Source organism: Homo sapiens, chromosome 22 (genome assembly GCF_000001405.40).
Source record: "Homo sapiens chromosome 22, GRCh38.p14 Primary Assembly".
In the NCBI taxonomy this organism is placed as follows: Eukaryota; Metazoa; Chordata; class Mammalia; order Primates; family Hominidae; genus Homo; species Homo sapiens.
Window position 1 is genome coordinate 42,976,644 of NC_000022.11, and position 27,935 is coordinate 43,004,578.

The 27,935-nt window shown below is 48.3% G+C and overlaps 1 protein-coding gene across 4 annotated transcripts in view, besides 5 other annotated features; it reads right to left on the reverse strand.

Annotated features, from left to right (window-relative positions):
• Positions 1–27,935, reverse strand: part of PACSIN2 (protein kinase C and casein kinase substrate in neurons 2) — a 145,384-nt gene that overhangs the window by 106,878 nt on the left and 10,571 nt on the right. The gene's annotated exons all lie outside the window — the stretch shown is intronic.
• Positions 8,700–9,217: an enhancer, noted in NCBI's record as "H3K4me1 hESC enhancer chr22:43381349-43381866 (GRCh37/hg19 assembly coordinates)". NCBI's record gives its function as "activates a minimal SCP1, AML or CMV promoter by ChIP-STARR-seq in primed H9 embryonic stem cells {active_cell/tissue: H9 hESC(primed)}" and the evidence as "EXISTENCE:reporter gene assay evidence [ECO:0000049][PMID:30033119]".
• Positions 9,218–9,736: an enhancer, noted in NCBI's record as "H3K4me1 hESC enhancer chr22:43381867-43382385 (GRCh37/hg19 assembly coordinates)". NCBI's record gives its function as "activates a minimal SCP1, AML or CMV promoter by ChIP-STARR-seq in primed H9 embryonic stem cells {active_cell/tissue: H9 hESC(primed)}" and the evidence as "EXISTENCE:reporter gene assay evidence [ECO:0000049][PMID:30033119]".
• Positions 16,387–16,507: a silencer, noted in NCBI's record as "fragment chr22:43389036-43389156 (GRCh37/hg19 assembly coordinates)". NCBI's record gives its function as "represses an EF-1alpha promoter that drives an FKBP-Casp9 reporter gene in an ReSE screen in HepG2 liver carcinoma cells {active_cell/tissue: HepG2}" and the evidence as "EXISTENCE:reporter gene assay evidence [ECO:0000049][PMID:32094911]".
• Positions 24,924–25,103: an enhancer, noted in NCBI's record as "active region_19180". NCBI's record gives its function as "activates an Ori minimal core promoter by ATAC-STARR-seq in GM12878 lymphoblastoid cells {active_cell/tissue: GM12878}" and the evidence as "EXISTENCE:reporter gene assay evidence [ECO:0000049][PMID:35858748]".
• Positions 27,798–27,897: a silencer, noted in NCBI's record as "silent region_13847". NCBI's record gives its function as "represses an Ori minimal core promoter by ATAC-STARR-seq in GM12878 lymphoblastoid cells {active_cell/tissue: GM12878}" and the evidence as "EXISTENCE:reporter gene assay evidence [ECO:0000049][PMID:35858748]".

Genomic DNA, 27,935 nt, shown 5'->3' on the forward strand with positions numbered 1-27,935 from the left:
GCTAACATAACCACATGGGTTTTCTTTTTAATGTGATACAGTGAATTGTGATGTATAACATTAACTGAGCACTTATTATGCACCAAACCCAGGTCTAATCATTTCACAGATACCCCATTTCGTCCTTCCATCAACCCTATACAGCAGTATTGTAATTGTCCTGCCAATTTTATAGATGAGGAGACTGAAGCTCAGGGAGATTAACTAATTTGGCTAACGTCAGAGAATTAGTAAATGGCAGGACTGGGGCAAACCATGCTCTAATCCCTGAGCTAGAAGTTTCTCCAGCCGACACAATACCTCATGTTATGCTATCCTTGCATTGCTAGAGTAAACCTTGTTTGGTCATGAAAAATTAATCTTTTAATACACTACTGTATTCAAATTATTATTTGATTTAGAAACCTACTTTAAAATGTTGCAAATATATAAACATATATATGCATTAATAGACACATATTACATTCATATGAGACTGATCTGTAATTTCATTTAGACCATGGATGGAAGAAGAAACAAACATTTTTACAAAGAAATAGAAATAGAAATTTGCAAAAAATCTTAAAATTTTATGGCAAAACACACCTAAACAATGTAAAAACAAACTATAGAAACAATAGCTGGGGACACATTTGCAATGCACACAACAAATAATTTATAGCCCTAATATACAAAGAGTTCCTAAAAATTCAAAACAATCCAGTAGACGGAAAAACGGAGAAAGGATATAGGTATGGAATTCACAGAAGAAAAAATAAAGAAAAAAGGTGAAATGGTGCTCAACCTCACCAGTACTCAGGAAAACACAAATTAAAATAAAAGTGCTCCATAGAAACAGAATGGTGAAAAACAGTTTTTAGTTAAAAATAATTAAGACTATAATACCATTTTCAGCCATGAGATTAGCAAAAACAATACAACATCTAGCACTGGTGGAAATGCCCAGTAAAAGGGGTTGATATGGTTAGGCTCTGTGTCCTCACCCAAATCTCACGGCAAATTGTAATCCCTGTGTGGCAGGGGAGGGACCTGATGGGAGGTGATTAGATCATGGAGGCGAATTTCCCCCTTGCTATTCTCATGACAGTAAGTGTGTTCTCGGAGATCTGAAGCATGTGGCACTTCCCCCCTCACGCTCTCTGTCTCTCTCCTGCTCTGCCATGGTAAGACACGCTTGCTTCCCCTTCCACCATGATTGTAGTTTCCTGAGGCCTCCTAGCCATGCTTCCTGCTAAGCCTGTGAAACTGAGTCAATTAAACCTCTTTTCTTCATAAATCACCCAGTCTCAGGTGGTTCTTTATAGCAATGTGAGAACGAACTAATACAGGGGTACTCATACATTGCTAGTACAAGTCTGAAAAAGACTAGAGCAATTCAGTGTGACATAACTACTAAAAACTACTGACCTGGAGAGAGATCCAGAGTACAACACTCACTCACTGGCTCATTCATTCATTCATCCCACAATGAGCACCTACAACCTGCCATGCACTTTTTTCAATTATTTGTTATCAAAAGAGCTTAAATTCAGGGGTGTGTAAGCTCAAGAGAAGTGAAAATAACAAGTTGCTGAATAATGCCTACAATAGGTCCCTCTCTTTTTTTAAAACATGCATTTGTGAGGGTCAGGAGAAAGTTGTGGAAGGCTCTGCTACAACAAGCAGTCAACAGTTGATTACCACCTAGCTGTTTATACATCTTCTGTTTCTCTTGGCATGAGCACACAGTAACAAATCCAATAACCTATAACGCTGAGAAATCTAACAGAAAATATCAGTCTTCGTTTACACGCAACACAAGAAGAGCACAGGGCCCACACTGCGTTGGTGGCAGAGCCAAAAGTCCACCCTCATCCTGCTGAATGACTGCAAAGCTGGGCTCTTCACTCCCAGATGACAGTGTTTCTCCTCACTCACATTCACCCACCCACACAGAGCAGAAAGCAGGAAGGTTTCCATGCCCGCACTGACGGTAAGTTGTGGGAGGCAGTCGGGCAACATTTCTGGAGTTCCTATGAATGATGTGCTATGCTTTTTGGCCTGCAGACGTTCAGGTGGACTCAGATCTGAGACATATTCAAAAGTATGTTTGCATCCTGGCCCTTGGTTTATGTATTTCCTCTTCCCTAGGGCATTCTACAAAGCATTTCCAAAAAGGCTGGTCCCTGCCCCTTAACTGGTTCCTCCTCCTGGCAACAGCATTCCAGCTGGGCTTTGGGAAATCTCCCTACTCCTTCAAAACAATTGTTTCTCCCCTGGCTTCTTTTCAGGTTTCCTATGAGTCTATGAGGTCACTCCACCCAATGTCTTCCAAGGAACTGATTATGCTCAGGTTAGCTGGTGACCTCAGAACTCTGACCAGTATAATGAACTGTGACAGAAAGGAATGCATCCTGTTGACCAATCCCCCTGCAGTATAGCACAGACAACAGGGGTACTACAAAGCTCCATTGCCTAGGAGAAACAGCCAGCACCTGTACTGGCTGAGACATAGAAACTTCAAAAACAATTCAAATGTCCATACCACTGCCCAAGGCCCAATGATGGTTCATCTGTTTGTGTTTTTATTTATAGATTTACAGAAATATAGAGATATTTGGCCAGGTGCGGTGGCTCATGCCTGCAATCTCAGCACTTTGGGAGGCAGAGGCAGGTGGATCACCTAAGATCGGGAGTTTGAGACCAGCCTGGTCAACATGGTGAAACCCCATCTCTACTAAAAATACAAAAATTAGCCAAGCGTGGTAGCAGGCGTCTGTAATCCCAGCTACTCCAAAGGCTGAGGCATGGGAATCACTTGAACATGGGAGGTGGAGGTTGCAGTGAGCCGAGATCATGCCACTGCACTCCAGCCTAGGCAACAAAGCAAGACTCCCTCTCAAAAAAAAAAAAAAAAAAAAAGGAAAGAAAAGAAAAAAGAAATATACAGATATTTAACTAAATATAAAAACAGTCAAAAAACAAAGAAAGAAGTAATTGGCCCAGGTCAGATACCTCCTTCTCTATGAATTCTCTGGCTCCTTCCTCCTGGGAGTATATGCTCTGTCTTAAGGCACCTGCCGCTTTCTAACTTGGGTTATAGTTATTTAAACACAGACATTGCCTCCTCTAGGCTGGGAGATTCCTGAGGACAAAATCCCTAAGTTATTAATGGATTAACGGATCCCCCTTGCATCCTGACCACATGCTACAGACTGATATGTTGCCCAGTGTGCTGAAACACGTTTGTCTGCAAACCCCTGCTTATGCCAACTGTACTTGTCATTGTAAATTTACATACACACATTTATTACACATACGCACATACATACAATACACATATAGTATAAATACACATACATGCTTAACTATATAAACCTATGAAATAAGCGCATCATTGTTTCCATTAAAACTATTAAAACAAGTTTCTATTAAAACAAGTTGTTAATTAAAAAAAAAAGAAAGAAAGAAACAATCTGCTAACTAAATTATAGGTATGGCAAAACAAGTATAGAGTATTGGGTGAAAATTTGTAAAATCTATAATTCCACATTCATGTTGCTTCTAAGTTCTCAATTGTCATTAAGAAAATTAATTAAATTAATTAATGGCCACACACAGTAGCTCATGCCTATAATCCCAGCACTTTGAGAGGCCAAGGCATGAGGACTGCTTGAGCCCAAGAGTTCAAGAACAGCCTGAACAACATGGCAGGACCTTGTCTCTACTAAAAATCAAAAACACTAGCTTGTCATGGTCATTAGGAGGTCAAGGCTGCATGATCACACCACGACACTCCAGCCTGGGCGACAGAGAGAGACCCTCCCTCAAAAAAACAAACAACCCTCTCCCTCTCCCTCTCCCCCTCCCCCTCCCCCTCTCCCTCTCCCTCCACGGTCTCCCTCTGATGCCGAGCCAAAGCTGGACGGTACTGCTGCCATCTCGGCTCACTGCAACCTCCCTGCCTGATTCTCCTGCCTCAGCCTGCCGAGTGCCTGCGATTGCAGGCGCGCGCCGCCACGCCTGACTGGTTTTCGTTTTTTTTTGGTGGAGACGGGGTTTCGCTGTGTTGGCCGGGCTGGTCTCCAGCTCCTAACCGCGAGTGATCCGCCAGCCTCGGCCTCCCGAGGTGCCGGGATTGCAGATGGAGTCTCGTTCACTCAGTGCTCAATGGTGCCCAGGCTGGAGTGCAGTGGCGTGATCTCGGCTCGCTACAACCACCTCCCAGCCGCCTGCCTTGGCCTCCCAAAGAGCCGAGATTGCAGCCTCTGCCCGGCCGCCACCCCGTCTGGGAAGTGAGGAGCGTCTCTGCTTGGCCACCCATCGTCTGGGATATGAGGAGCCCCTCTGCCTGGCTGCCCAGTCTGGAAAGTGAGGAGCGTCTCTGCCCGGCCGCCATCCCATCTAGGAAGCGAGGAGCGCCTCTTCCCCGCCGCCATCCCATCTAGGAAGTGAGGAACGTCTCTGCCCGGCCGCCCATCGTCTGAGATGTGGGGAGCACCTCTGCCCCACCGCCCTGTCTGGGATGTGAGGAGCGCCTCTGCTGGGCCGCAACCCTGTCTGGGAGGTGAGGAGCGTCTCTGCCCGGCCGCTCCGTCTGAGAAGTGAGGAAACCCTCTGCCTGGCAACCGCCCCGTCTGAGAAGTGAGGAGCCCCTCCGTCCGGCAACCACCCCGTCTGGGAAGTGAGGAGCGTCTCCGCCCGGCAGCCACCCCGTCCGGGAGGGAGGTGGGGGGGGTCAGCCCCCCGCCCGACCAGCCGCCCCGTCCGGGAGGTGAGGGGCGCCTCTGCCCGGCCGCCCCTACTGGGAAGTGAGGAGCCCCTCTGCCCGGCCAGCCGCCCCGTCCGGGAGGGAGGCGGCGGGGGGGGTCGGCCAGCCGCCCCGTCCGGGAGGGAGGTGGGGGGGTCAGCCCCCCGCCCGGCCGGCCGCCCCGTCCGGGAGGTGAGGGGCGCCTCTGCCCGGCTGCCCCTACTGGGAAGTGAGGACCCCTCTGCCCGGCCAGCCGCCCCGTCCGGGAGGGAGGTGGGGGGGTCAGCCCCCCGCCCGGCCAGCCGCCCCGTCCGGGAGGTGAGGGGCTCCTCTGCCCGGCCGCCCCTACTGGGAAGTGAGGAGCCCCTCTGCCCGGCCAGTCGCCCCGTCCAGGAGGGAGGTGGGTGGGTCAGCCCCCCGCCCGGCCAGCCGCCCAGTCCGGGAGGGAGGTGGGGGGTCAGCCCCCCGCCCGGCCAGCCGCCCCGTCCGGGAGGGAGGTGGGGGGATCAGCCCCCCGCCTGGCCAGCCGCCCCGTCCGGGAGGTGAGGGGCGCCTCTGCCCGGCCGCCCCTACTGGGAAGTGAGGAGCCCCTCTGCCCGGCCAGCCGCCCCGTCCGGGAGGGAGGTGGGGGGGTCAGCCCCCCTTCCGGCCGGCCGCCCCGTCCGGGAGGTGAGGGGCGCCTCTGCCCGGCCGCCCCTACTGGGAAGTGAGGACCCCTCTGCCCGGCCAGCCGCCCCGTCCGGGAGGGAGGTGGGGGGACAGCCCCCCGCCCGGCCAGCCGCCCTATCCAGGAGGTGAGGGGCGCCTCTGCCCGGCCGCCCCTACTGGGAAGTGAGGAGCCCCTCTGCCTGGCCAGCCGCCCCGTCCGGGAGGGTGGTGGGGGGGTCAGCCCCCCGCCCGGCCAGCCGCCCCATCCGGGAGGTGAGGGGCGCTTCTGCCCGGCCGCCCCTACTGGGAAGTGAGGAGCCCCTCTGCCCGGCCACGACCCCGTCTGGGAGGTGTGCCCAGCGGCTCATTGGGGATGGGCCATGATGACAATGGCGGTTTTGTGGAATAGAAAGGCGGGAAGGGTGGGGAAAAAATTGAGAAATCGGATGGTTGCCGGGTCTGTGTGGATAGAAGTAGACATGGGAGACTTTTCATTTTGTTCTGTACTAAGAAAAATTCTTCTGCCTTGGGATCTGTTGATCTGTGACCTTATCCCCAACCCTGTGCTCTCTGAAACATGTGCTGTGTCACTCAGGGTTAAATGGATTAAGGGCGGTGCAAGATGTGCTTTGTTAAACAGATGCTTGAAGGCAGCATGCTCGTTAAGAGTCATCACCACTCCCTAATCTTAAGTACCCAGGGACACAAACACTGCGGAAGGCTGCAGGGTCCTCTGCCTAGGAAAACCAGAGACCTTTGTTCACTTGTTTATCTGCTGACCTTCCCTCCACTATTGTCCTATGACCCTGCCAAATCCCCCTCTGCGAGAAACACCAAAGAATGATCAATAAAAAAAAAAAAAAAAAAAAACAACAACAAGGCTAGGAGCAGTGGCTCACACCTGTAATCCCAGCACTTGGGAGACTTAGGCAGGCAGATCACTTGAGGTCACGAGTTCAAGACCAGCGTGGCCAACATGGTGAAACCCCATCTCTACTAAAAATACAAAAATTAGGCCGGGCACAGTGGCTTACAACTGTAATTCCAGCACTTTGGGAAGCTGAGGCGGGTGGATTACCTGAAGTCACGAGTTCGAGACCAGCCTGGCCAACATGGTAAAACCCCGTCTCTACTGAAAATACAAAAATTAGCCGGCTGTGGTGACGCACACCTGTAGTCTCAGCTACTCAGGAGGCTGAGGCAAGAGAACTGCTCAAATCCAGGAGGTGGAGGCTGCAGTGAGTCGACAATGTGCCACTGCACTCCAGCCCAGGCAACAGAGCGAGACTCCATCTCAAAAAAAAAAAAAAAAAAAAGAAACTGGCTGGGTGTGGTGGCACACACTTCTAATCCCAGCTACTTGGGAGGCTGAGGCAGGAGGATCACTTGAACCCAGAAGGCGGAGGTTGCAGTGAGCCGAGATTGTGCCACTGCACTCCAGCCTGGACAACAGAGTGAGACTCCATCTCAAAAAAAAAAAAAAAAAAACAGATATTGAAGGCAATAAATTATTGGTGTGGCATATGCAAAAAAAATAACCAGCAGTTCTAATTAGTAAACTGAAAGTAAAAGAAAAGGACAATAAAAGATTGACATATGAGAATATATCAATTTTTTGTTTTTAAGAGATAGGGTCTTGCTATGTTGCCCAGGCTGGTCTTGAACTCCTGGGCTTAAGCCATCCTCCCACCTCAGCCTCCTGAGTAGCTGGGACTATAGGAGCACACCATCATGCCTATCATTTTTTTTACATCCCTAAACTATGTATTGTTTTTTAAGAATCTTTGTCTTTGTTCTTCAGTTAACTGACTGGTGGTCAGTCTCCATCTCATGAGACAGATACTTAATGACCACTGATCAGATGTCATGTCAGGTCAGGAAATAAACTAGTGTAAACCTGGGCTGAAGAAGCTACGCACAGGCTATGGGCACAGCACTTAGCACTTTTTTTTTTTTTTTTTTTTTTTTGAGACAGGGTCTGGCTCTGTCACCAAGGCTGGAGTGCAATGATGAAATCTTGGCTCACTGCAGCCTCAACCTCCTGGGCTCAAGCAATCCTCCCACTTCAGCCTCCTGAGCAGCTGGGATCATAGGTGTGCACCACCACATCTGGCTAATTTTTATGTTTTTTTGTAGAGACGGAGTTTCGCCATGTTGCTCAGGCTGGTCTCAAACTCCCAAACTCAAGTAATCTGCCTGTCCCAGCCTCCCACAGTGCTGGGATTACAGGTGTGAGCTACCACCCACTACCTAGCACTTAGCACTTTTTAAATAAAATTCTTCCTGCCCTCAATGAAAAGAAACAACTATATAATTTGTTTAAAGACCAGGAAAAGTTAATAATGAGTACAGAATTCAGAATTCTCAATTTCCCACCCGGAAGAAATGCTCTAGGCCCTCGGCCTCCCTGAAGCTTCCCTGATGTTGATATGTGAACCTAGTAAAACACTGGTCCCATCTTGCATCTCCCCAGACTGGATCTGGAGATGAGGTGAAAACCCACATGGCCAGGAGAAAAGCAGGACTGTGATCTGCACTGCCCTGACCCAGGCCAGCGGGTTGACAACACCTGCTGCAAAGGTTCCTGGTGCAAAAACTACTCCCTTTAATCGGTGCTTCAGGGCATCTGGGAATAAGGAGCAGGGTAAACCAGAAGGAAAGGAAAATGAAATTTCTCTTACCTCACCTGTGCCAAAAGGCTGCAGAGCTGTGGCCTTTGACACTTACAAGATTATCTTAACACAAGGAGGGCAGAAAACATCCCCAAGACTAAGAGCACAGGTCTTCCTTCTCAGCACATCAACACCCAGCTTAGTAACAATGAGACCCCAAAAGAGGCAACTACTTACCTGAAAAAAGCAGCTGGGGAGAGGTTGGAAAACAAAAGTAGGCCCCACCCCTAGTTTTTCTTATTCTAAACTAAACCCTAGAGATGGATATATGTGGATTTGCTTGTTCTGTTTGGCAACCAAAGGTCAGGAAAGCTGGCTGCTTTCTATAAAAAATGAAATCAGTAAGTGTGTATGGGCTGGGTGTGGTGGCTCACGCCTGTAATCTCAGCACTTTGGGAGGCCAAGGTGAGAGGATCACTTGAGGTCAGGGGTTCAAGACCAGCCTGGCCAACATGCGAAACCCCATCTCTGCTAAAAATACAAAACTCAGCCAGGAGTGGCGGCACATGCCTGTAATCCCAGCTACTTGGGGGCTGAGGCAGAAGAACTGCTTAAACCCAGGAGGCAGAGGTTGCAGTGAGCCGAGATCTCATCACCGCACTCCAGCACTCCAGCTTTGGCGACAGAGCGAGACTCCATCAGCTGTGCACCTCTCTGGATGGGGTGCTCACCCCAGAGACTGGCTGTCTCCCACAAGCCATTCCTGATGGGCTCCACGTTCTGCCCACAAGGGCAGCAGATGGGCACACTCCAAGGCTCCGTTGTGGCCCCCCACTGGCCTCACTTCTCTCCACATGCAGGCCCAGGTCTAGGTCCAGGAGTGTCACCTTTACAGCACCTAGGTGCAACTGAAGACACTGCCTCCAGCCCTCGCTCGGCCAACCCCTGAGAAGGACCCACCTGGTTTTGAAACATTTGCAAAACATAAAGATAACAGGACAAAGAACAGCCCCTCCAACAGACACACACACAGACACATTCACATGTCATCCAGCTCCAGCTGGTTTTTAACCTTCTGTCTGCCTCTTCACCACATTATATTCAGAGGGAGGGCTAAGGTCTGAAAATGTCCTGGAAATCTGATAAGTCTCCCAGACGCCTAACCCCTCCCCATGCAGGAATCACTGAGCAAAACCCAGGTTCTCCACAGTCTCATCTCCAACTGAAGTGATTCTCCACCCTCCCATGCCCACCCTGCCCACCCCTTGCTGACTGCAGGTCTGATGTCCATTACAGGGCCACTATAGAGCCACCGGCCACTTGGCTTCACCCCACACCCCCAACACAAAGAAACATCGAGGTCTTCTTGATTGGGCCAATGCCCCAGGTCAGGAGGCTCACGCTTGACTTTCCAAACAACGATCCCCTTGCTCTGTAGTTTTAGCCAAGCACCCTCAAGGTGATTTCCCTTTCCCCAGAATTAACACAGAAACAGTAAGCATTAGGCAAGGGAAAAACAAGAAAAGGAAGACCAGGAACTATGCTAGGAGATTTAAAAGAGGTAAATGATCACTAACAAAAGAGAACTTGACCAACAGAAAAGGAAAAGCAATTCAAGCTAAGCAAAACCGTGCCACTGCGTCAGCCACGACGCTGGGCTGCAGTGTGGTCAGCGAGTCTGGTAAGCACCCTGGCTGTTTGGAAAAGCGCAGCGGCCCCCAAAGAAAACACTCGTGAGTATCAATCAAGGGCAGCATTCATCCGGCCAAACGAAATCAAACGCCTAAAAGAAATGACCTTGGTTCCCCTCTCCCTCCACAACCCCTTCCCAGCATGGCAACCAGCAGACAGGCTCGATCTCACCACCCGCCACTTCAGGGGCTCATTCCTCCACAGTTCACGGAGGCCTTTTGGGGCCCTGCACGCTGCTGAGTGCACATGCATGACAGTGACACTCTAATGGGGGGTGAAGATACACACTAAAATCCACATGGGAACACAATGACTTCAGACACAGCAGAGGGCTACTTCAGGGCAGAGAGCAACATCAGTGACCACTGAGAGGGGGCTTTTGTGCTATGACCTGAAGACAAAGAACATTCCAGGAAGTGGGAACCCCACGTGCAAAGACCCTAAGAAGGGGCAGCAGCTACTGCATCAACACTTGTCTCTCTAGATCTAATCTCTATCCTTTTCTACCCATTCTAAAAAAACCTTCCCGAAACCTAGATGTGGTCTCACCTTTCTCTTCTGCTTAAAAGCCTTTGATAGCCACTGCCTATATAATAAAGCCCCTAAGATCCCCTTCTTGAGTAAAGTTTATTGGATGTAAATCACACATACCTACACGCACACATACATAGATACTCCATTCCCACTGACGCCTTCCCTAACTAACACCCCTCAGACAGCCTGTAGAGTCCACTCCACCCACCCTTGATGTGTAGTCAATGAGAAGACATTTTTGATGACTTGCTGGGGGGTGTGTCTGAATCTATACACAAAACACCAAGACTGACCTGGGTTCAAACCCTGACTCTGTCACTTACCACCCATGTGTCCCTGAACAAATATTTTAACTATCTCTCTGAGCCTCCATTTCATTTATGTGTAAAAAAGTGATAACAGCACTAACCTTGGGTACCCCAACACTGATCATCACTGTTATTATATGGGCTGCTTAGCTTCCCACAGATAAAAATTTCATCTCCAGCCCCTAGATAAGATGACACCCCTACACGCAGGTGGCTCTGCCCGAGGGACCTCACTGGCCACCCAGCATGTGGTTTGAGACACCCCACCCTGAGTCCAGGAGCAACACACACACACACACACACACACACACACACACACACACACACCCATGGCACCATGTTCAGAAGACGGGCACATTCATTCTTTTTTTTTTTTTTTTTTGAGACAGGAGTCTCACTCTGTCACCCAGGCTGGAGTGCAGTGGTGCAATCTCGGCTCACTGCAACCTCCGCCTCCCGGGTTCAAGCGATTCTCCTGCCTCAGCGTCCCAAGTAGCTGGGACTACAGGTGCGCACCACCACACCCGGCTAATTTTTTGTATTTTTAGTAGAGACAGGGTTTAATCACTGTGTTAGCCAGGATGGTCTCAATCTCCTGACCTCATCATCTACCCACCTCCGCCTCCCAAAGTGCTCGGATTACAGGCATGAGCCATAAAACCTCCAGAACACATTTTAAAATGCCTGTTCCAGGCTGGACGTAGTGGTTTATGTCTGTAATCCCAGCACTTTGGGAGGCTGAGGCGGGCAGATCACTTGAGGTCAGGAGTTCAAGACCAGCCTGGCCAACATGGTGAAACCCCGTCTCTACTAAAGATACAAAAATTAGCCAGGTGTGATGGCACATCCCTGTAGTCCCAGCTACTTGGGAGGCTGAGGTGAATCACTTGAACTCGGGAGGTGGAGGTTGCTGTGAGCCGAGATCGCACCACTGCACCCCAGCCTGGGCAACATAACGAGACTGTGGCTCAAAAACAAAATAAATAAATACATAAATGCCTGTTCCAGAGAACACAAAAGCAAAACCATTTAGAAAATGTAGGTTTGTCCCAGGCACCAAAGACAAGGAGAAGATAGTCTCTGAACACTTTTCATTCACATTCACTGCTAGGACCCTCACAGTTACAAAGCCCACGAGGACACAGACAGCTGTGGGATGTGTGAGTGAGGGGTGGGGGGCACGTCATGGCCAGAGCAGGAGAGGACCACAACCAAATAGAGCTTGAACTCATCTTCATCAAGGTACAACTCAACCTTCTACTTCCCAAGATTAGTTAATCCTGCGTCCTAGTAATTAAAGAAAAAAATACATTATGCAATGAACTGAAAATCTGGTTCAAATTCAGCAACCTGTAGAAGTCCAGGCTTAGGGTCCACTGGCCAAAAGTATAACTGCTCCTAACTACAGCAGCTCGGGAAGAAAATAATGTAGCCACAGGTATGAAGATTTCAGTGAAATGTAGCAAAACATTTCTAAATAGCTCTCTGTACCAAATGCAGTTCAGTTAACATTGCTCTCCAAACTTCCTTCTCTTTCAAGAAGGGATACCAAACTTGATCCAATCTAATTCATGTTGGCCCCAGCCCACACATTCCAAAGAAACATTTTCAAAAACTCAAATTATTTTTTTAGCTTGCCATAAAATTTACAATGACATCACATGCATTTGGGAAAAAATATAGAAACTTAAATCCATGATCTGAAAGGTGGTCAAAGAAATTTTTTTTTTTGTTTTTGGGAGTGAGTCTGTCATCCAGACTGGAGTGCAGTGGCGCAATCATGGCTCACTGCAGCCTTGACTTCCTAGGCTCAAGCAACTCTCCCACCTCAGCCTCCTGAATAGCTGGGACCACAGGCACATACCATGACACCTGGCTAGTTTTAAATTTTCTGTAGACACAGGGTCTCACTATGTTGCCCAGGCTGGTCTCAAACTCCTAGGCTCACGAAATCCTCCTGCCTTGACCTCCCAAAGTGCTGGGATTACAGGTATGAGCCACTGCACCTGGTCTAGTTCGTTTCTTAATACAATAGAAAACTCAATTCTCGGCCGGGCGCAGTGGCTCACGCCTATTAACCCAGCACTTTGGGAGGCGAGGTGGGTGGATCACCTGAGGTCAGGAGGTCAAGACCAGCCTGGCCAACATGATGAAACCCCATCTCTACTAAAAATACAAAAAATTAGCTGGGTGTGGTGGTGGATGCCTGTAATCCCAGCTACTAAGGAGGCTGAGGCAGGAGAATCGCTTGAACCTGGGAGGTGGAGGTTGCAGTGAGCCGAGATCACACGATTGCACTCCAGCCTGGGCAATAAGAGTGAAACTCCATCCCCCTCAAAAAAAAAAAAGGCCAGGTGTGGTGGTTCACACCTGTAATCCCAGCACCTTGGGAGGCCGAGGCGGGTGGATCACGAGGTCACGAGTTCAAGACCAGCCTGGCCAACACAGTGAAACCCCGTCTCTACTAAAAATACAAAAAAAATTAGCTGGGCATGGTGGTGGGTGCCTGTAGTCCCAGCTACTTGGGAGGCTGAGGTAGGAGAATCATTTGAACCTGGGAGGCAGAGATTGCAGCAGTGAGCTGAGATCGCGCCACCGCATTCCAGCCTGGGCGACACAGTGAGACTCTGTCTCAAAAAAACAAAACAAGAAAGAAAAAAAAAAGAAAAGAAAACTCATTCTCTTGGAGGGGGAAAAAAAAATATATATATATATATATACACACACACACACATATATGTATATATATGTGTGTATATATAGGTAAGATGTAAGCCAGTTCAAGCATTTAAACAGGTTTAAAAAAAGAAGATATATTTATATATACATATATACACACACATATATATACACACATATGTATATATATGTATATATATATATATACACACACATATGTGTGTATATATATGTGTGTGTATATATGTAAGATGTAAGCCAGTTCAAGCATTTAAACAGGTTTAAAAAATGAATGATTTTTTTAAAAAGAATGATTTTTAAACACAGCTAATTTCTGCAGTCAGTCAACGTGACTTTCCACATGAGGGCAGCCCTGGGCACTTGCAATCACAGACGGCCACAAACCAACTGGCTTTGGGTAAGAAGGGATACTCCTCCCAAAGAATGAATCAGTCTTAGGACTGCAGATCCTCATGTCACTCATGCCTGCATTGTTCATCCCACAGAGCCTGCTTGCCTATGATGTGCCATTTCAGAGCTAAGAACTGCACACTACAATACAAAATGCAGTCCCCTGCCCTCCGCCTACCCAGCTCCTAGCCCCACAGAAGACAAACAGGTCGGTCATACCATACATGAGGAGTATGGGGACGGGGGTGGACCATCCACTCTGCAGGCCCAGGGGCAAAACACCTGGAGGGAGGGGAAGGTGAAATTAGAGCCAAGTTTTGAAGGATGAGTTCAGCAGGCAAAGACGGGAAGAATGGCATTTGCAGTAGACAAGATTTGCATGGGAGAAATGCAAGAAGTTCAGGAGTGTGGCAAGAGATGAGACTCAACGGGTAAGCAGGGGTCAGACCACAAGTCTGGATTTTATTGTGATAACAACAGAGAACCACTCAAGAATTTTAATCTCAGACAGTCCGACCCCTCCCCGTTGCCAATAAGAACATGAAGATGTGGAAGAGGGCCATGGAAACCACTCTATTTGGCTCAAGAGCTAATGAAAAATGCTAAACCATATCTGTCCTTCAATGTTCAATAACAAAAAGCACAGCCCAAAGACTTCTTCCAGATGGTCACCTTCTCTGTGCCTCAGTTTCCTCATCTGTAAAATGGACAGCAGCCACCTCACAACGCTGTTGTGAGGACTCAACGGGTTCTATACACAAAGTGCTTACAGCAGAAGAAAGCTCCATCACTTTTAGGTGCTGGTGGAACTCCTAGTGCTAGGACTAGTAGTACCAGCAGTTTATGAGTCAGAACACACTGCCCCCAGATCAAAAAGCAGATGGAGACTTTACCACCTCCTAGGAAGCTGCTGTACAATGGTATAGACTTGGAGACTGCTCAGAGCCACTTTGTGACTGAAGGGAAAAGAATGAACTTGTGTTAACCCCTCCCACCCCCATCCACCCCAGTCATAAAGCTGGTCAAGGACAAGCAGTGGCTCAGAGCAGAGCCCAGTTCCCTGGGTCTCAGCTGGCTGCAGGTCTCAAGGCTGTCAGCCCTCGCAGAATGGGGAACAGCCCCTCCCACCTTTCTCAGCCTGAGCCCCACCCCACCCATCCAGGCACAGAAGGCTTCTTCTCCCTCCACCTCTCTGTCCTGGCAAGCCTCTAGTCACCTCTGGAAATGAGACACTGCCCAGAACCCACCAACCAGAAGCCTCTGTATGGCCCAGAGAAGAAGGAGAGAGACTGTGCGGGAATCCAGCGGGCATCGCCCAGTCCCTTTCCCAGCCCTATCCAATGATAGAGCTCCTGCTGTCAGGAGCTGGGAACTCCCAGGTGCGATAAAGAGAAAGCCATGCCATACGAAGCTGAGAACAGTAAACAGTCATGAAGAGATCCAAGGGCTCAGAACCACAATTCCCAGACCTCTGGGTTTCACCAATTAGAAATTTTCCCCCAAAATTTTGGGGACTTTTCAACAAATGGTACTGAAACAACTGGCTATCCACAGACAAAAAAAAAAAAAAAAAACCTTCAATTCACACACCGCAACACATTTTAAAAGTTCAAAATGGATCACAGGCCTAAATGTAAAACATAAAACTATAACATTTCTAGACGAGACATGAGAAAACATTTGTGACCTGGGATTAGGCAAAGATTTTAGCTGTGACACCAACCAAAAAAGCACAAGCCGTAAAAGAACAAATTGACTTCAGCAAATGTTTAAAACTTCTGTTCTTCAAAAGATACTGTTAAAAGAATGAAAAGACAGCCTCAGACAGGGAGTCAATATTTTCAAATTATGTAATTGATCAAGGAATTGTATCCAAAATATATTTTAAAAATTTCAAAACTAAGTTAATAAAACAACTCAGCTTTTTCAACAGGCAAGTGATTTAAAGAGATAATCACTAGGGAAATGCAAATTAAACCTACCAGAATGGCAAAAATTAAAAAGACTACATGTACCAAGTGTTGGTGAGGATGTGGGGGAACTAGAACCCAGTGCTGGTGATGCGCGCAAAGCACTTTGGAAAAGTTTGGCAGTGTCTGGACATGTTAAACGTACCCTAGCCACCAAACCTAGCCTAACCACCTAAACCACCAAAGCACCTAGCCATTCCACTCTAGGTATTTACCCCAGGGAAGTGGAAGCAGATGTTGGCCAAGTGCAGTGGTTCACACCTGTAATCCCAACACTTTAGAAGACTGAGGCAGGAGGATCATTTGAGCCCAGGAGTTCAAGATCAGTCTTGGCAACATAGGGAGACTCTGTCTCCATTAAATTTTTGATAAAAAGAAAGCAGATGTCCCCACAGAGACTGGCACACAAATGTTAATAGCACCTTATTTTTCTGTAACATCTTTTCACGACATAGCATCTTCATTTGTGATTACACCAAGTGGAAACAGCCCAAACGTCTGTCAATAGGTGAATGAACAAATTGTAGCATGCCCATGCATTGGATTTTTTAAAAAATGAAACTAACTGATAAATGCTACAACAATCTCAAAGTAATTTTACTGAGTGAAAGAAGCCAGACTAAAAATAACACATACTGTAAAAAGAATATATACTGGCCGGAAGTGGTGGCTCACACCTGTAATCCTAGCACTCTGGGAGGCTGAGGCGGGCAGATTGCCCGAGCTCAGGAGTTTGAGACCAGCCTGGGCAACACAGTGAAGCCCCGTCTCTACTAAAAATACAAAAAAATTGGCCGGGCATGGCAGCATGCACTTATAGTCCCAGCTACTCGGGAGCTGGGAGCTGGGAAGCAGGAGAATCACTTCAACCCGGGAGGCGGAGGTTGCAGTGAGTCGAGATTGCACCACTGCACTCCAGCCTAGCAACAGAACAAGACTCCATCTCAAAAAAAAAAAAGGAAGAAGAAGAATACATAGAATACATACTGTATGATTCCATTTACATAAAATTTTAGAAAATGCAAATGATTCTACAGTGGCAAAGAGTAGAGCAGTGGTGGCCTGGAAGAAGTGGGGGCAGAGGGACCCCAAGTGGCAAGAGGAACCCTCAGAGGGTGGACTTCTCACTATCTTCTTTGCAATGATGGCTTAACAGTGTATTCATATGCCAAAACTTATCGCCTGTTCATTATAACTCAATAAAACTGTTTCAAATTTGAAGGCAGAATAACATAAGACTGCTTACTTCTTATTTTGCCAAGTAAGAATATCCTTTAGAAACTACCAGCTCTTTTCATCAACATGGAAAGATAGGACATTTTAAAATGTAAAAGATACAATGGTCAAAATTTTATACAGAAAGAGCCCTTCCCAAGAAAGGGCAGCTGCTAACCTTACACACATGAAAACTGCATTGCCCTTATTTTTTCCACGTTGATGATAACACGATTGCAGACTGTCATCTTCTGAGACTGGCAGGAATGCCCCTGAAGGCCGACCAGAGCCGAAGGACACTCTCCGGGTTCATCTCCACATCCGACCTGGCAGTTCCTCCTGGAAGGGCGGCACCAGGGACAGCCATGTGCGCTGTGGGACCCAGACATCACTTCCCTGCCCTCCCACAAGTCAAGAAATCACAAGAAGAATGTGGCCCAAAAGGTTCCTGAAGCACTCCTATGCAGCTGAAGAAGGGAAGTGCCTTGTTTCCACAAGAGCTGCTCACCCCCAAGCCACAGTATCTGTGGTTTGCTGCTGGGACAAGTTCCATAAGTCAACATTAAAAACTCTTCAGTGGGATTCCTCCAGGCTAAAGTCCAGTGAGCTAAAGCCGAAATCAAATATGAGCTCTCAAGAAGACCACGATGTAGACTGGAATCCTTCTGATATTGCGCCAGAATGCTAACAAAAGCCAAGAGATGTCATCAGCAAAGCCCTAGAGGGAAACTTTGGGTAAAATGACAGTGCAGTGCGCTCCTGCTCAAGTGTGGCTGGTTTGGTGGTAAGAAGGGCTGAGCAGGGGGACAGGCCTGCTCTTAACCCCACCTCCCCATGCAACTGGGGCTCCAGGCATGGTCCCAAGCCCCATGTGTCAGATAGGGAGGGACAACCCCAAACACACCCAGAAAATAAGCATGAACTTTACCATTCAAGAAACCAGGCACACACATGAATCCAGAGCCGTGTCCTGCGCCACAAAGACCCTCGGGCGTGCTTATGGGGACACCCCAGCCTGCACACCCAAGCTCTGTCCACACATACCCTGCCCATGGCCACCATTCAGCCACCTTTGGCTGGAGGCACGTGCACACAGTGCACAGCCTACCCTCAGCAGGACACGCCAGGGAGGCGGCCCATGCAGGCCATGTAAGGGGTCTGGGGGTTACTGGGGCAGGGAATTCCAGGGTCTCTGTCCCTGTGCATGGCCTAAAGGGAGAGGCACAAGTTTTAGGGAGATACCACTTCTTGATACCTCAGATTCCTCACCCTATAGGGACAGTCACACTGGAAAAAGGGCCCCGGGCAGGGGTCCCACATGCCCCACCTACGGGAATGCTGACATATGAAAGGTCTGGGGGCTGCGGGGAGCACCCTAGCATATCCACACCTAGAGCCACAGCCTCGCAGCCAGCGAATGCAGCTGCCTCTTCCCTGGCCCAGAGATCCTTCTCTCTTGTCAGCAATCCCCATCCCACCCCAAGCCCCAGTCTCTGTCTCACTGGACTTTACACCAGGACTCCCGCAACTGTGCCTTGCCCGTTTAGACTGGAAATTCCATTTAGGCTGCCTCCTGGACTCCCTCTCAGGACCCTGCTTCCAACAATCACATAGTCAAAGGGGACAATGTCCCCCCTCCCCGCCTCGGGGCTGCTCCGGGCCCCAACTGCCAGGAAGCAAGACTGGACACTGCAACGTTTAACTCACATTGAGCTGAAGCAGCCGAGTTCTTCCTCTATAAAGTGAGCTGACTGCAGAGAAACTGCACCCTGGCATTCAGTCATGTTTCACAATAACTCCAGAGGAGGAGCTCTGCTTCTGACATGAAGTGTGGCAAGCCTTAGAAGGAAGCAGAGCTACAAAGTTATTCAATGCAAATATTTAAAGAACAGGCTGCTTTTGGTGCCAGGAGGACGGCAGCTTGCAAACCTCCAGTCACAATAAAGGTTCTGCTTGGTTGGGACTGAGTCAGGATGACAAATGTTGTTTCATTGCACCCTCCGTCCACTGAGGAGACAAGGTTTTTAAAGCAACTTTTCAGGAAGTTACTCTGTCCATTGGGCAGGACCTTAAAAGTCACAGCAAGAGAGCAAGTGTCTGGTGTGGAAAAACCAGAGTGTGTATACAACTACTCAGTCAAGAACTAAATGTGCATTTCCAATGTCATTCACGCGGCAATTATTTGGAAATAAGGATGGGATCATGCAATTTTGCCAACAGTAAATATACAGATTTGGTAACTTCAAGTGCCTATAATGTCCACCAGACAGAGGCCTTAAAGCACATTCCACCCATGTTTTCCTCCTTGAGAAAGGCAATTTGATTGTTAAAAGAAACAGTGGCCAGGCACAGTGACCCACACCTGTAATCCCAGCGCTCTGGGAAGCCGGGACAGGAGGATCACTTGAAGCCAGGAGTTCAAGACCAGCCTGGGCAACACAGTGAGACCTGCCCCCTTCCCCAGTCTCCAGAAAAATTTAAAAATTAGCCAGGTATTGGCTGGGCGTGGTGGCTCACGTCTGTAATCCCAGCACTTTGGGAGGCCGAAGTGGGCGGATCACAAGGTCAGGAGATCAAGACCATCCTGGCTAACACGGTGAAACCTCATTTCTACTAAAAATACAAAAAATTAGCTGGGCGTGGTGGTGGGCGCCTGTAGTCCCAGCTACTTGGGAGGCTGAGGTAGGAGAATGGCTTGAACCTGGGAAGCGGAGCTTGCAATGAGCCGAGATTGCACCACTGCACTCCAGGCTGGGCGACAGAGCGAGACTCCGTCTCAAAAAAAAAATAATAAAATTAGCCAGGTATGACACTGGACGCGGTGGCTCACGCCTGTAATCCTAGCACTTTGGGAGGCCAAGATGGGTGGATCACAAGGTCAGGAATTCAAGACCAGCCTGGCCAAGATGCTGAAACCCCATCACTACTAAAAATACAAAAATTAGCTGGGCATGGTGGCACACGCCCGTAATCCCAGCTACTGGGAAGGCTGAGGCAGGAGAATCGCCTGAACCCAGGCAGCAAAGGTTGCAGTGAGCCAAGATCGAGCCACTGCACTCCAGCCTGGGTGACAGAGCAAGACTCTGCCGCAAAAAAAAAAAAAAAAAAAAATTGGCCAGGTATGATGGTACACACTTGTAATTTGGGAGGGTGAGGTGAGAGGATCATTAAGCCCTGGAGTTGGAGGCTGCAGTGGGCCACAATCACACCACTACACTCCAGCCTGGGTGACAGAGTGAGGCCCTGTCTCAATCAGGGGGAAAAAAAGCAGAGAATAGAGACGGTCCAGGCCAAAATGGACACACTGAATTTTTTGTTGGTATTTCTGATGGTGTCCTCAGGCCTGGCTTACTGAGTTCTACAGCCTCAAGCTGCATGCTGATCAAAACCACACATCACATTTCCTAGGTATGAGGCCTAGGCCCAGCTTTCTCACTTGCAAAACAAAGTTGTCATGAGAATAAGTGTAATCACGCAAGGAAAAATAGGACACCTGGCACAAAATGAGCCTCAATAAACATTAAATTTTTTAAAAATAATTCTGATAACGATTGTGAAGTCAGAAACCAGTTCAGGGAAGTGAAGGCTAGAAGGGGGCTGGGAGGTTTGGCAACAAGCAGAGCCCTGGCAGGAGGGGATGAGGCTTGGACCCTCCCGCCCACTGAGGCTGGCCTTCCCTCCACACCAGGCTGGGGGTGTTTAATCACGCTCTGCCTCCTCTGACCAGAATGTAAGATCATGGACTACGTTGTTCCTGTTGTAACTCCAGTGCCTAGAACCGTGCCTAGCACATGGCAGGCGTTCAAAAATTTGCTGAATACATAAATGGGGATTTGGCCAGGCACAGTGGCTCACGCCTGTTATCCCAGGACTTTGGGAGGCAGAGGCGGGCAGATCACAAGGTCAGGAGATTGAGACCATCCTGGCTAACATGGTAAAACCCTGTCTCTACTAAAAATAGAAAAAATTAGCCAGGCGTGGTGGCAGGCGCCTGTAGTCCCAGCTACCTGGGAGGCTGAGGCAGGAGAATCGCTTGAACCCGGGAGGCAGAGGTTGCAGTGAGCTGAGATGGCGCCACTGCACTCCAGCCTGGGCGACAGCGAGACTCCGTCTCAAAAAAAAAAACAATAAATAATAAATAAATAAATAAAAATGAATGGGGATTTATGAATACATTGAATTGCATGCAAAAATGTCTGAGTCCATTTCTAGGGGGAAAGAATCTATTTGCATGAAATTCTCATGTAAATATAAGATCCAAATACAGGTCAACAAAAATTAGCCAGGCATGGTGGCGCATGCCTGTGGTCCCAGCTATTACTTCACTCGGGAGGCAGAGTGAGGCAGGAGAATCATCTGAACCCGTGAGGTGGAGGATGCAGTGAGCTGAGATCACACCACTGCACCCCAGCCTGGGCGACAGGGCAAGACTCTGTCTCAAAAAACAAACAAACAAAAATACAAGTGAAGAAACATTGCTGAGTTCCACCCACGTGTCTCAGAACACCAGTGACCACCGTTAGGTGAGCAAGGCAGTAAAATTACAGAGCAAAATCTAACAGGCCAGAGCTTTCCTGGAAAAGAGGTTTCTCAGGAGCCAGCCCCAAACATATCCAAGGGCAGTTACCAGCCTTTAAGTCTGAGGTTTGGATTTGAGAATTAACTTTGAAACTAGAGCCAACCCCAGGTTAAGGAGGGAGCAGAAGGAAATACAGGAAGTTGATGAATAAAAACAGAAAGTCTTTGGTACCATGAGAGTGAGACACATCAATGCTCCCAGAGAACCTGGGGACCCAGCAAAATTCCTTCAGGGACCGTGAATATAGGAACCTTCTTTGCTGCTGCAGGGATTTCAGATATTCTCCCAGTCTGAACCTGGTTTGGATTCTGGGCTCCCAACCTTGCTTCCAGTTTATAACTCAACCCAGCCACACTGGCCTCCATCTCCCCAACATGCCCTGACGCATGACTCGCACAGATGCCAGACAGACAGAAGGGCAGACACCAAAACACAGAGCAAGAAAAGGGCAACAATAAACTTTTTCTGAACTTAAGCCTTTTAAAGATCAATAAGGTTGCTAGATCCCTAAATAATAGTATTTTTCACATTCAATGATTTAGAAACTCCAGATGACAAAAGGCTACTGTAAATTCAAGTTTTAAAGTAAACTGGTATTTTGTTAATCATAATCACAGCATCATTTATATATAGTAATGATACAAACACGAGGCAGAAGGGCAGGGTCCCTGGTGAGAGCCCCACCCTCAAGCCTGGACCCAAGGCCCTAAATGAGAACAAGCATTCCTGTTTTCGCACCCAAATGTTGCCTTTCAGCCCACCATGTCCCCCATCATCCTGTGCCCATATAAAACCCCAAACCCCAGAATCCAGGAGCAGAAGAGTGGCAGAGGAGAGAAGAGAGGAAGTCGAGAGGAGTTGAGCTGGGGGCAGTTGAAGAGGAGATCGGCTGCAGAATGGCCAAACTCCAGGAAAAGATCACCTTCCCACTCCATCCCATCTCCAGCTCCCCATCCTGCTGAGAGCCACCTCCATCACTCAATAAAATCCCGCATTCACCATCCTTCAAGTCCATGTGACCTGATTCTTCCTGGACGCCAGATAATTCGGGATGCTGAACCCAAAAAGGCTGTCACACTGACTCTTAAGCCGTTTAACACTTAAGCCGTCCTCAGACAGGAGGGCTAAAAGAGCATTGTAACAACCCTAGACACTGCTGTGGGGCCAGAGCCCAAAAGTGCTCGCCTCGGCCCCTGTACTTGCTCACCTGCATGCTCCCCCTCCTGTAAGTGGTTTAAGCAAACCAGCCACACCCCTGTCCCAAGTACCTCGAAGGGGTCCAGGGAACTCTCCCATTTCAGTAACATATAAATGTCTAATGTGTGTGTGTATGTGTGTGTACGGAGGCATTAAAAAATCTGTCTACAGGCCAGGCGTGGTGGCTCATGCCTCTAATCCCAGCACTTTGGGAGGCCAAGGCCAGTGGATCACCTGAGGTTGGGAATTCAAGACCAGCCTGACCAAGATGGAGAAACCCTGTCTCTACTAAAAACACAAAATTAGCCCAGCGTGGTGGTACATGCCTGTAATCCCAGCTACTTGGGAGGCTGAAGAAGAGAATCGCTTGAACCCGGGACGCGGAGGTTGCCGTGAGACAAGATCATGCCATTGCACTCCAGCCTGGGCAACAAGAATGAAACTCCATCTCAAAAAAAAAAATGCTGTCTACAGACTATGCCTGGTGGGCACAGGACTGATGGAGCAGTCCCCTGGCAGTCACTCCCTAACTTGCTGGGGAGACAGGGCCACTGTGGGGGACCACCAGTGCTTTGAAGAGAGAACCCTGAGACAGACCCAGATCTGAAGATATATTAAGCTTCTCTGAGCCTATTTCCTCAACTGTAAAGTGGGAATCAAAGAGTCCCAAGGCAAGATGGTTGGCAGGCTCAGAGGCACCGATGGCTGTGCTACAATGGAGTTCTCTAAGGGCAATGCCATCACAAGTGCAGGGCACACATTCATGCATCCCATCTGCACAACAATCCTATCATGATCCCCATTTCAAAGGTGAGGTAGGTATCACAACCAATCTCAGAGCTGGGATTCAAGCCCAGGCAATCTGGTTGCAGAGCTCCTTACTAACAACAGCTCACTGCAGGCACTTGTAGCCCCAATGGACGGGGCCGGCCCAAGACCAAAACATGCCAGAGGCTTCTCCCTGAACCTCTGCTCCAGACAGAGGCCCTCCTATGGGGAAAAGCAACCCGGGTTCCAGGTCAGGACCCCAAAAGCCAGCCATCCTGGACAGCAGGATGCACAGGGAGTGGGTAGCAGGGCTTTGCAGCCTTTGTGGGGACTGGTAATTTGCCAACTCTACCCCAAGGAGAGAACTCCCCTCTCCCACCTGGTAACCCCACGAGTTCCCAATGGACTGAGTTTGTCTCCACCTCCACCAATCACACTGCTAACATGAGGCTTTTGGAGGGTTTGGAGGATTGGAGGAGGTTTCTCTCTCTACTCACCTCTTTACTTACTAGTAAGAGCTCATGTTATGTTAAACTATTTCTAAATTTCGTGAACCTGCAAGTTCCTAGTAGAGGCAGCAGAGAGAAAAGCATGGGCCCAAAATAGCAATTCTGGAAATGAGCGTACACCCAAAAAACTTTAAGGAAGGTGACTTGTCTGAGCTATAAGGGGAGGTGATGAGTCAGCCCCAACCCCCACATCAGCAACTTCAGACTCACATTTGCAAGACTAAGAAGAAAAGAAATAAATCCAAAAGGAAATACAAGAAGCATTAAAGAAAATAACAAAGGATAAAACTGGAATTGATTATATCCTTTCACTCAGTCTTCATAAAAGGAGACATACTGTGTGGCACTGCCGTGATCCAATCACATTGACTTTCTTCCCATGGCTTACAGGTGGTCAGGAGTACCCCTCTGGAGTACTGGAAGGCCCTGCTTTTGCGTGACTCTCAGGCAAGGCCCAGCTCTGGGCCCCAACAAGCACCCCAGGCCTAAAAAGCAGAAGGCACTTGAAGGGAGAGCACAAGCAGCCCTTGGGCCCCGTCCGACCTCAAATAAAACTTAGGCCAAGGGCTGCTATGGAATCACGTCTTGTGTTACCAAAAATCCAGTCTCGAAATAAATCAGCCCTATCAGTGCATGCCATGCCATGCCATACCACCCACCCAAGTCTAGGGCAGCTGAGCAGGGATTTCTCAGGGAAATAAAATGGGAAGCTCCAAACGACAAAGGGGAGCTAAGAGCATATGGTTCTGGGCTTGGGAGTAACCGCCAGCTTAGCTGAAAAGCTCTAAGGATGACCAGAGGCTTCCATGAAGCCCCTGCCAGAACCTTCACCACACACACAACCAACAGCTCAGCCAGTTGCCAAGGCAACAGCAACCTAGACATGTTTAGGCATCTGTAGAAACCAGAGCAAAGTACAATTTCCACACTTGTGATAAAAATGCAGCCCCCAAAGCATCAAGCAAAGCATCACTCTAAAATTTTGTTTTACTGACAGAAGAAGCAGGACTGGGAGGGGAAGCAGGAAGCTGGGCAGCGCCTGGCAGAGCCAGTGCAGTCAGACGAGCCCTGAAGTGTGGGCACAAAAACCTGCCTGTGCTTGGGAAGCAAGACACTTGTATGCCTGTGCTGTTTGTGGCTGTTTCCTCTTATGTCTACCTTCCTGGGTAGTCAAGTCTCTTCATTTTGTTGTGAACATCAGCTTTTCTTAGCTGGGATAAGAGGAACCAAGAAAAGTAAGCTTTTGCCCACAGTAAGGCAAGAGAACTAAAAGGGAAACAGCCCCTGTGGGGAGAGGGTAGACATGGTGGAGGCATCGCAGGAATTCTAGGGAGGGGACCCAGGGGTAAGCACTAAGGTCAGCTGGCCTGACCACTGCTCCCCACCTGGAGCCCCTCTCTGTCCCTGCTAAGCACCTTGTCCTTTGCAGACCCTGGCAAATGAGCCACCAGGAAAACAGGACACCACTCAGTCTGAGAGTGAATACCTAAGGGACAGTGGAGGGTAGGAAAGTCAGTCCATGGGGAGGGGACATGGTGACAAGTTCCACAGCAGACCAGAACAGAAAAACAAACAAGCAAACAAGGCAAGCAAGCACCAGTGCTATAAACTTCCCAGGTTCCCTTTGAGATGCTTGTCTCTGGAGATGAACAGAGCCAGGAACCCCCATGAGAGCAGCATCTAGAAGCTAGAGATGAACTCTAAAGGACCACACGACCCCCAGGCTGCCTGGCAGAAAGAACCCTGCAGAGTCTTTCCAATATGCATCCCTTAAGTGAGGAAAAGAAAGCTAGAGAAGGTCTGTGAGATACCTACCGCGATGGCTGAGCTGATGCAGGAATGTGGCCATAAGCACTCACAACCTTGGGAACGTGGAACATTAGCTCCAAGGATTAATCATCAAGTAGTAAGGATTTTCTAAAACAGCGTTCCTTGCTCATCAAAGTATGGCAACCAATTCAAGTAAAATGATATCCAGAAACTTAGGAAGGAAATGTGACTCATTTAAGAAACCCTCACAGAACTTTCTTATCTCACAGATACTTGGAAGTTCTAAAGGCCAAGGCAGGCACTTTAAAGAGAAAGAATCCCCATTTTTTCACCCAAAAAATCAGAAAAATACACTTACAAGCAGCAAGACAGGCTTTCAAAACACTCTTAAGGTGTTCATACCCTTTAATACAAGATTTCTATTCTCGGGAATTTATCCCCAGGAACTAATTACACAGATGAAAAAGGATGAAATTATAAACTGCAAATTCATCTACATTAGCAAAAAAGTGGAAATAACCTAAAATGTCCAGCACTAGGGAATGTTTTAATCTCATTACGTCAACAGGATAATATAACCATTAATAATCTTTTTGAAGATGAAGGTAAAACATGGAAAATACTTGAGAAAATATTTAAGTGAATCTGAATAATACAATTATAACAATGTCAGTTATTGAAAAGGAAACAGCGAGGTCAGTTCAAGCTCCAGATCTCTCCCATCTACAAACTGGATGGCCTTGAACTAGGCACCTGATCTCACTACCTACAGCTTCCTCACATTCAAACTAACAACCTCGAAGTGTTGCCTTGAGGCAGGACAGAGACAACGTACCTCTCTTGCCTCTTCTGAAGCTTGGTACAAAGTTGGCAGGGAATAGGTTACTTGATCAAGATACACAAAAACCACTTTGTGCGTGGAAGGTAAACTACAAAGAGTTTTTTACTCAGAACATTGTTTTCTATGTTGAACCTTCAATTTTTAAAAGATTTAAAGAAAGCAAAAAAGAAGTCATTTGACACAAAAGTGATGATTATCCCAAGCATAAAAACAAATATCGGCTGGGCGCGGTGGCTCACGCCTGTAATCCCAGCACTTCGGGAGGCCAAGGCAGGCGGATCACGTCAGGAGATAGAGACCATCCTGGCTAACACGGTGAAACCCCGTCTCTACTAAAAATACAAAAAATTAGCTGGGCGTGGTGGCGGGCACCTGTAGTCCCAGCTACTTGGGAGGCTGAGGCAGGAGAATGGTGTGAACCCAGGAGGCGGAGCTTGCAGTGAGCCGAGATCGCGCCACTGCACTCCAGCCTGGGCGACAGAGCAAGACTCTGTCTCAAAATAAAACAAAACAAAACAAATATCTGCTCTAATATACCTGAGCAAATGCTCTTATGTGATATCACAACGTTGACAAAATGTGAAGACCTTTCGCAATTTTACAAAGTGCAGTCCTCTACAGAAACACAATTTCTTCTCCCTTGTCTACCTGCTCTTTAACAGCATAAGATGCCTTTTAAAATGCATCTGCCGAAGATGAGGCACTCCTAAGCCAGGGCCTCTGGAATCTTCCTCCTGTCCCACGTGGGATGCATCATGGGGTGGGTGTACCAGCGAGTCACCCACGGCCTTGACCGCACCCCAGCAGCTCTCCCTTTTGTGCCCTTATCTCCCTGCTGTGTAAATGGTTGTAAACTTTCAGATTATTGAAACCAAGTTAGTTACAGACATAGATGCCGTCTTAAGCAAAGGACACACATAATCTCCCTCATGTCTATGTTTCTCAGAGGTGGGGGAGAAAGATTAATTATCTTTTAAAGATGTTCACATCTGAGAGTGATTCACAACTTACTTATTCCAGCCAGCCAGAGGAGGTGAAATGAGTGTGGGCTTCGGTAGGCAGAGCACCAGCTCTGATGGTGACCCTCTGAAGGCCACTGAATCTCTCTGAGCTTAGGTTTACTGATGGATCAAGTGGAGAGAACACTATCTGGTTGCAAGAATTAAATGGGCAGGAATGTAAAGCTTCTTGAATGGTCCCTCAGAAACTTCAGAACATGGGGGCCTGTGCAGACAGCCCCTCACCACTGACTCTGCACCCCCCACGCACATCCTCCTTGGTGGCACATGCCCAGTCTCCTTATCTGATGACACATTTGCAGGAGCAAAGGTCGCAATTGCTTAATTAAAGCATCACCACGTGCGAGCTAAGTGGCGAGCAGGCAGCCAGCTCCAGCCAATCAGACAGCTACAGAACCCACTAATAGCGGGCTTGGACGTCTGTACAGGGAGCACTGCCTGCTCTGTGGTTCCT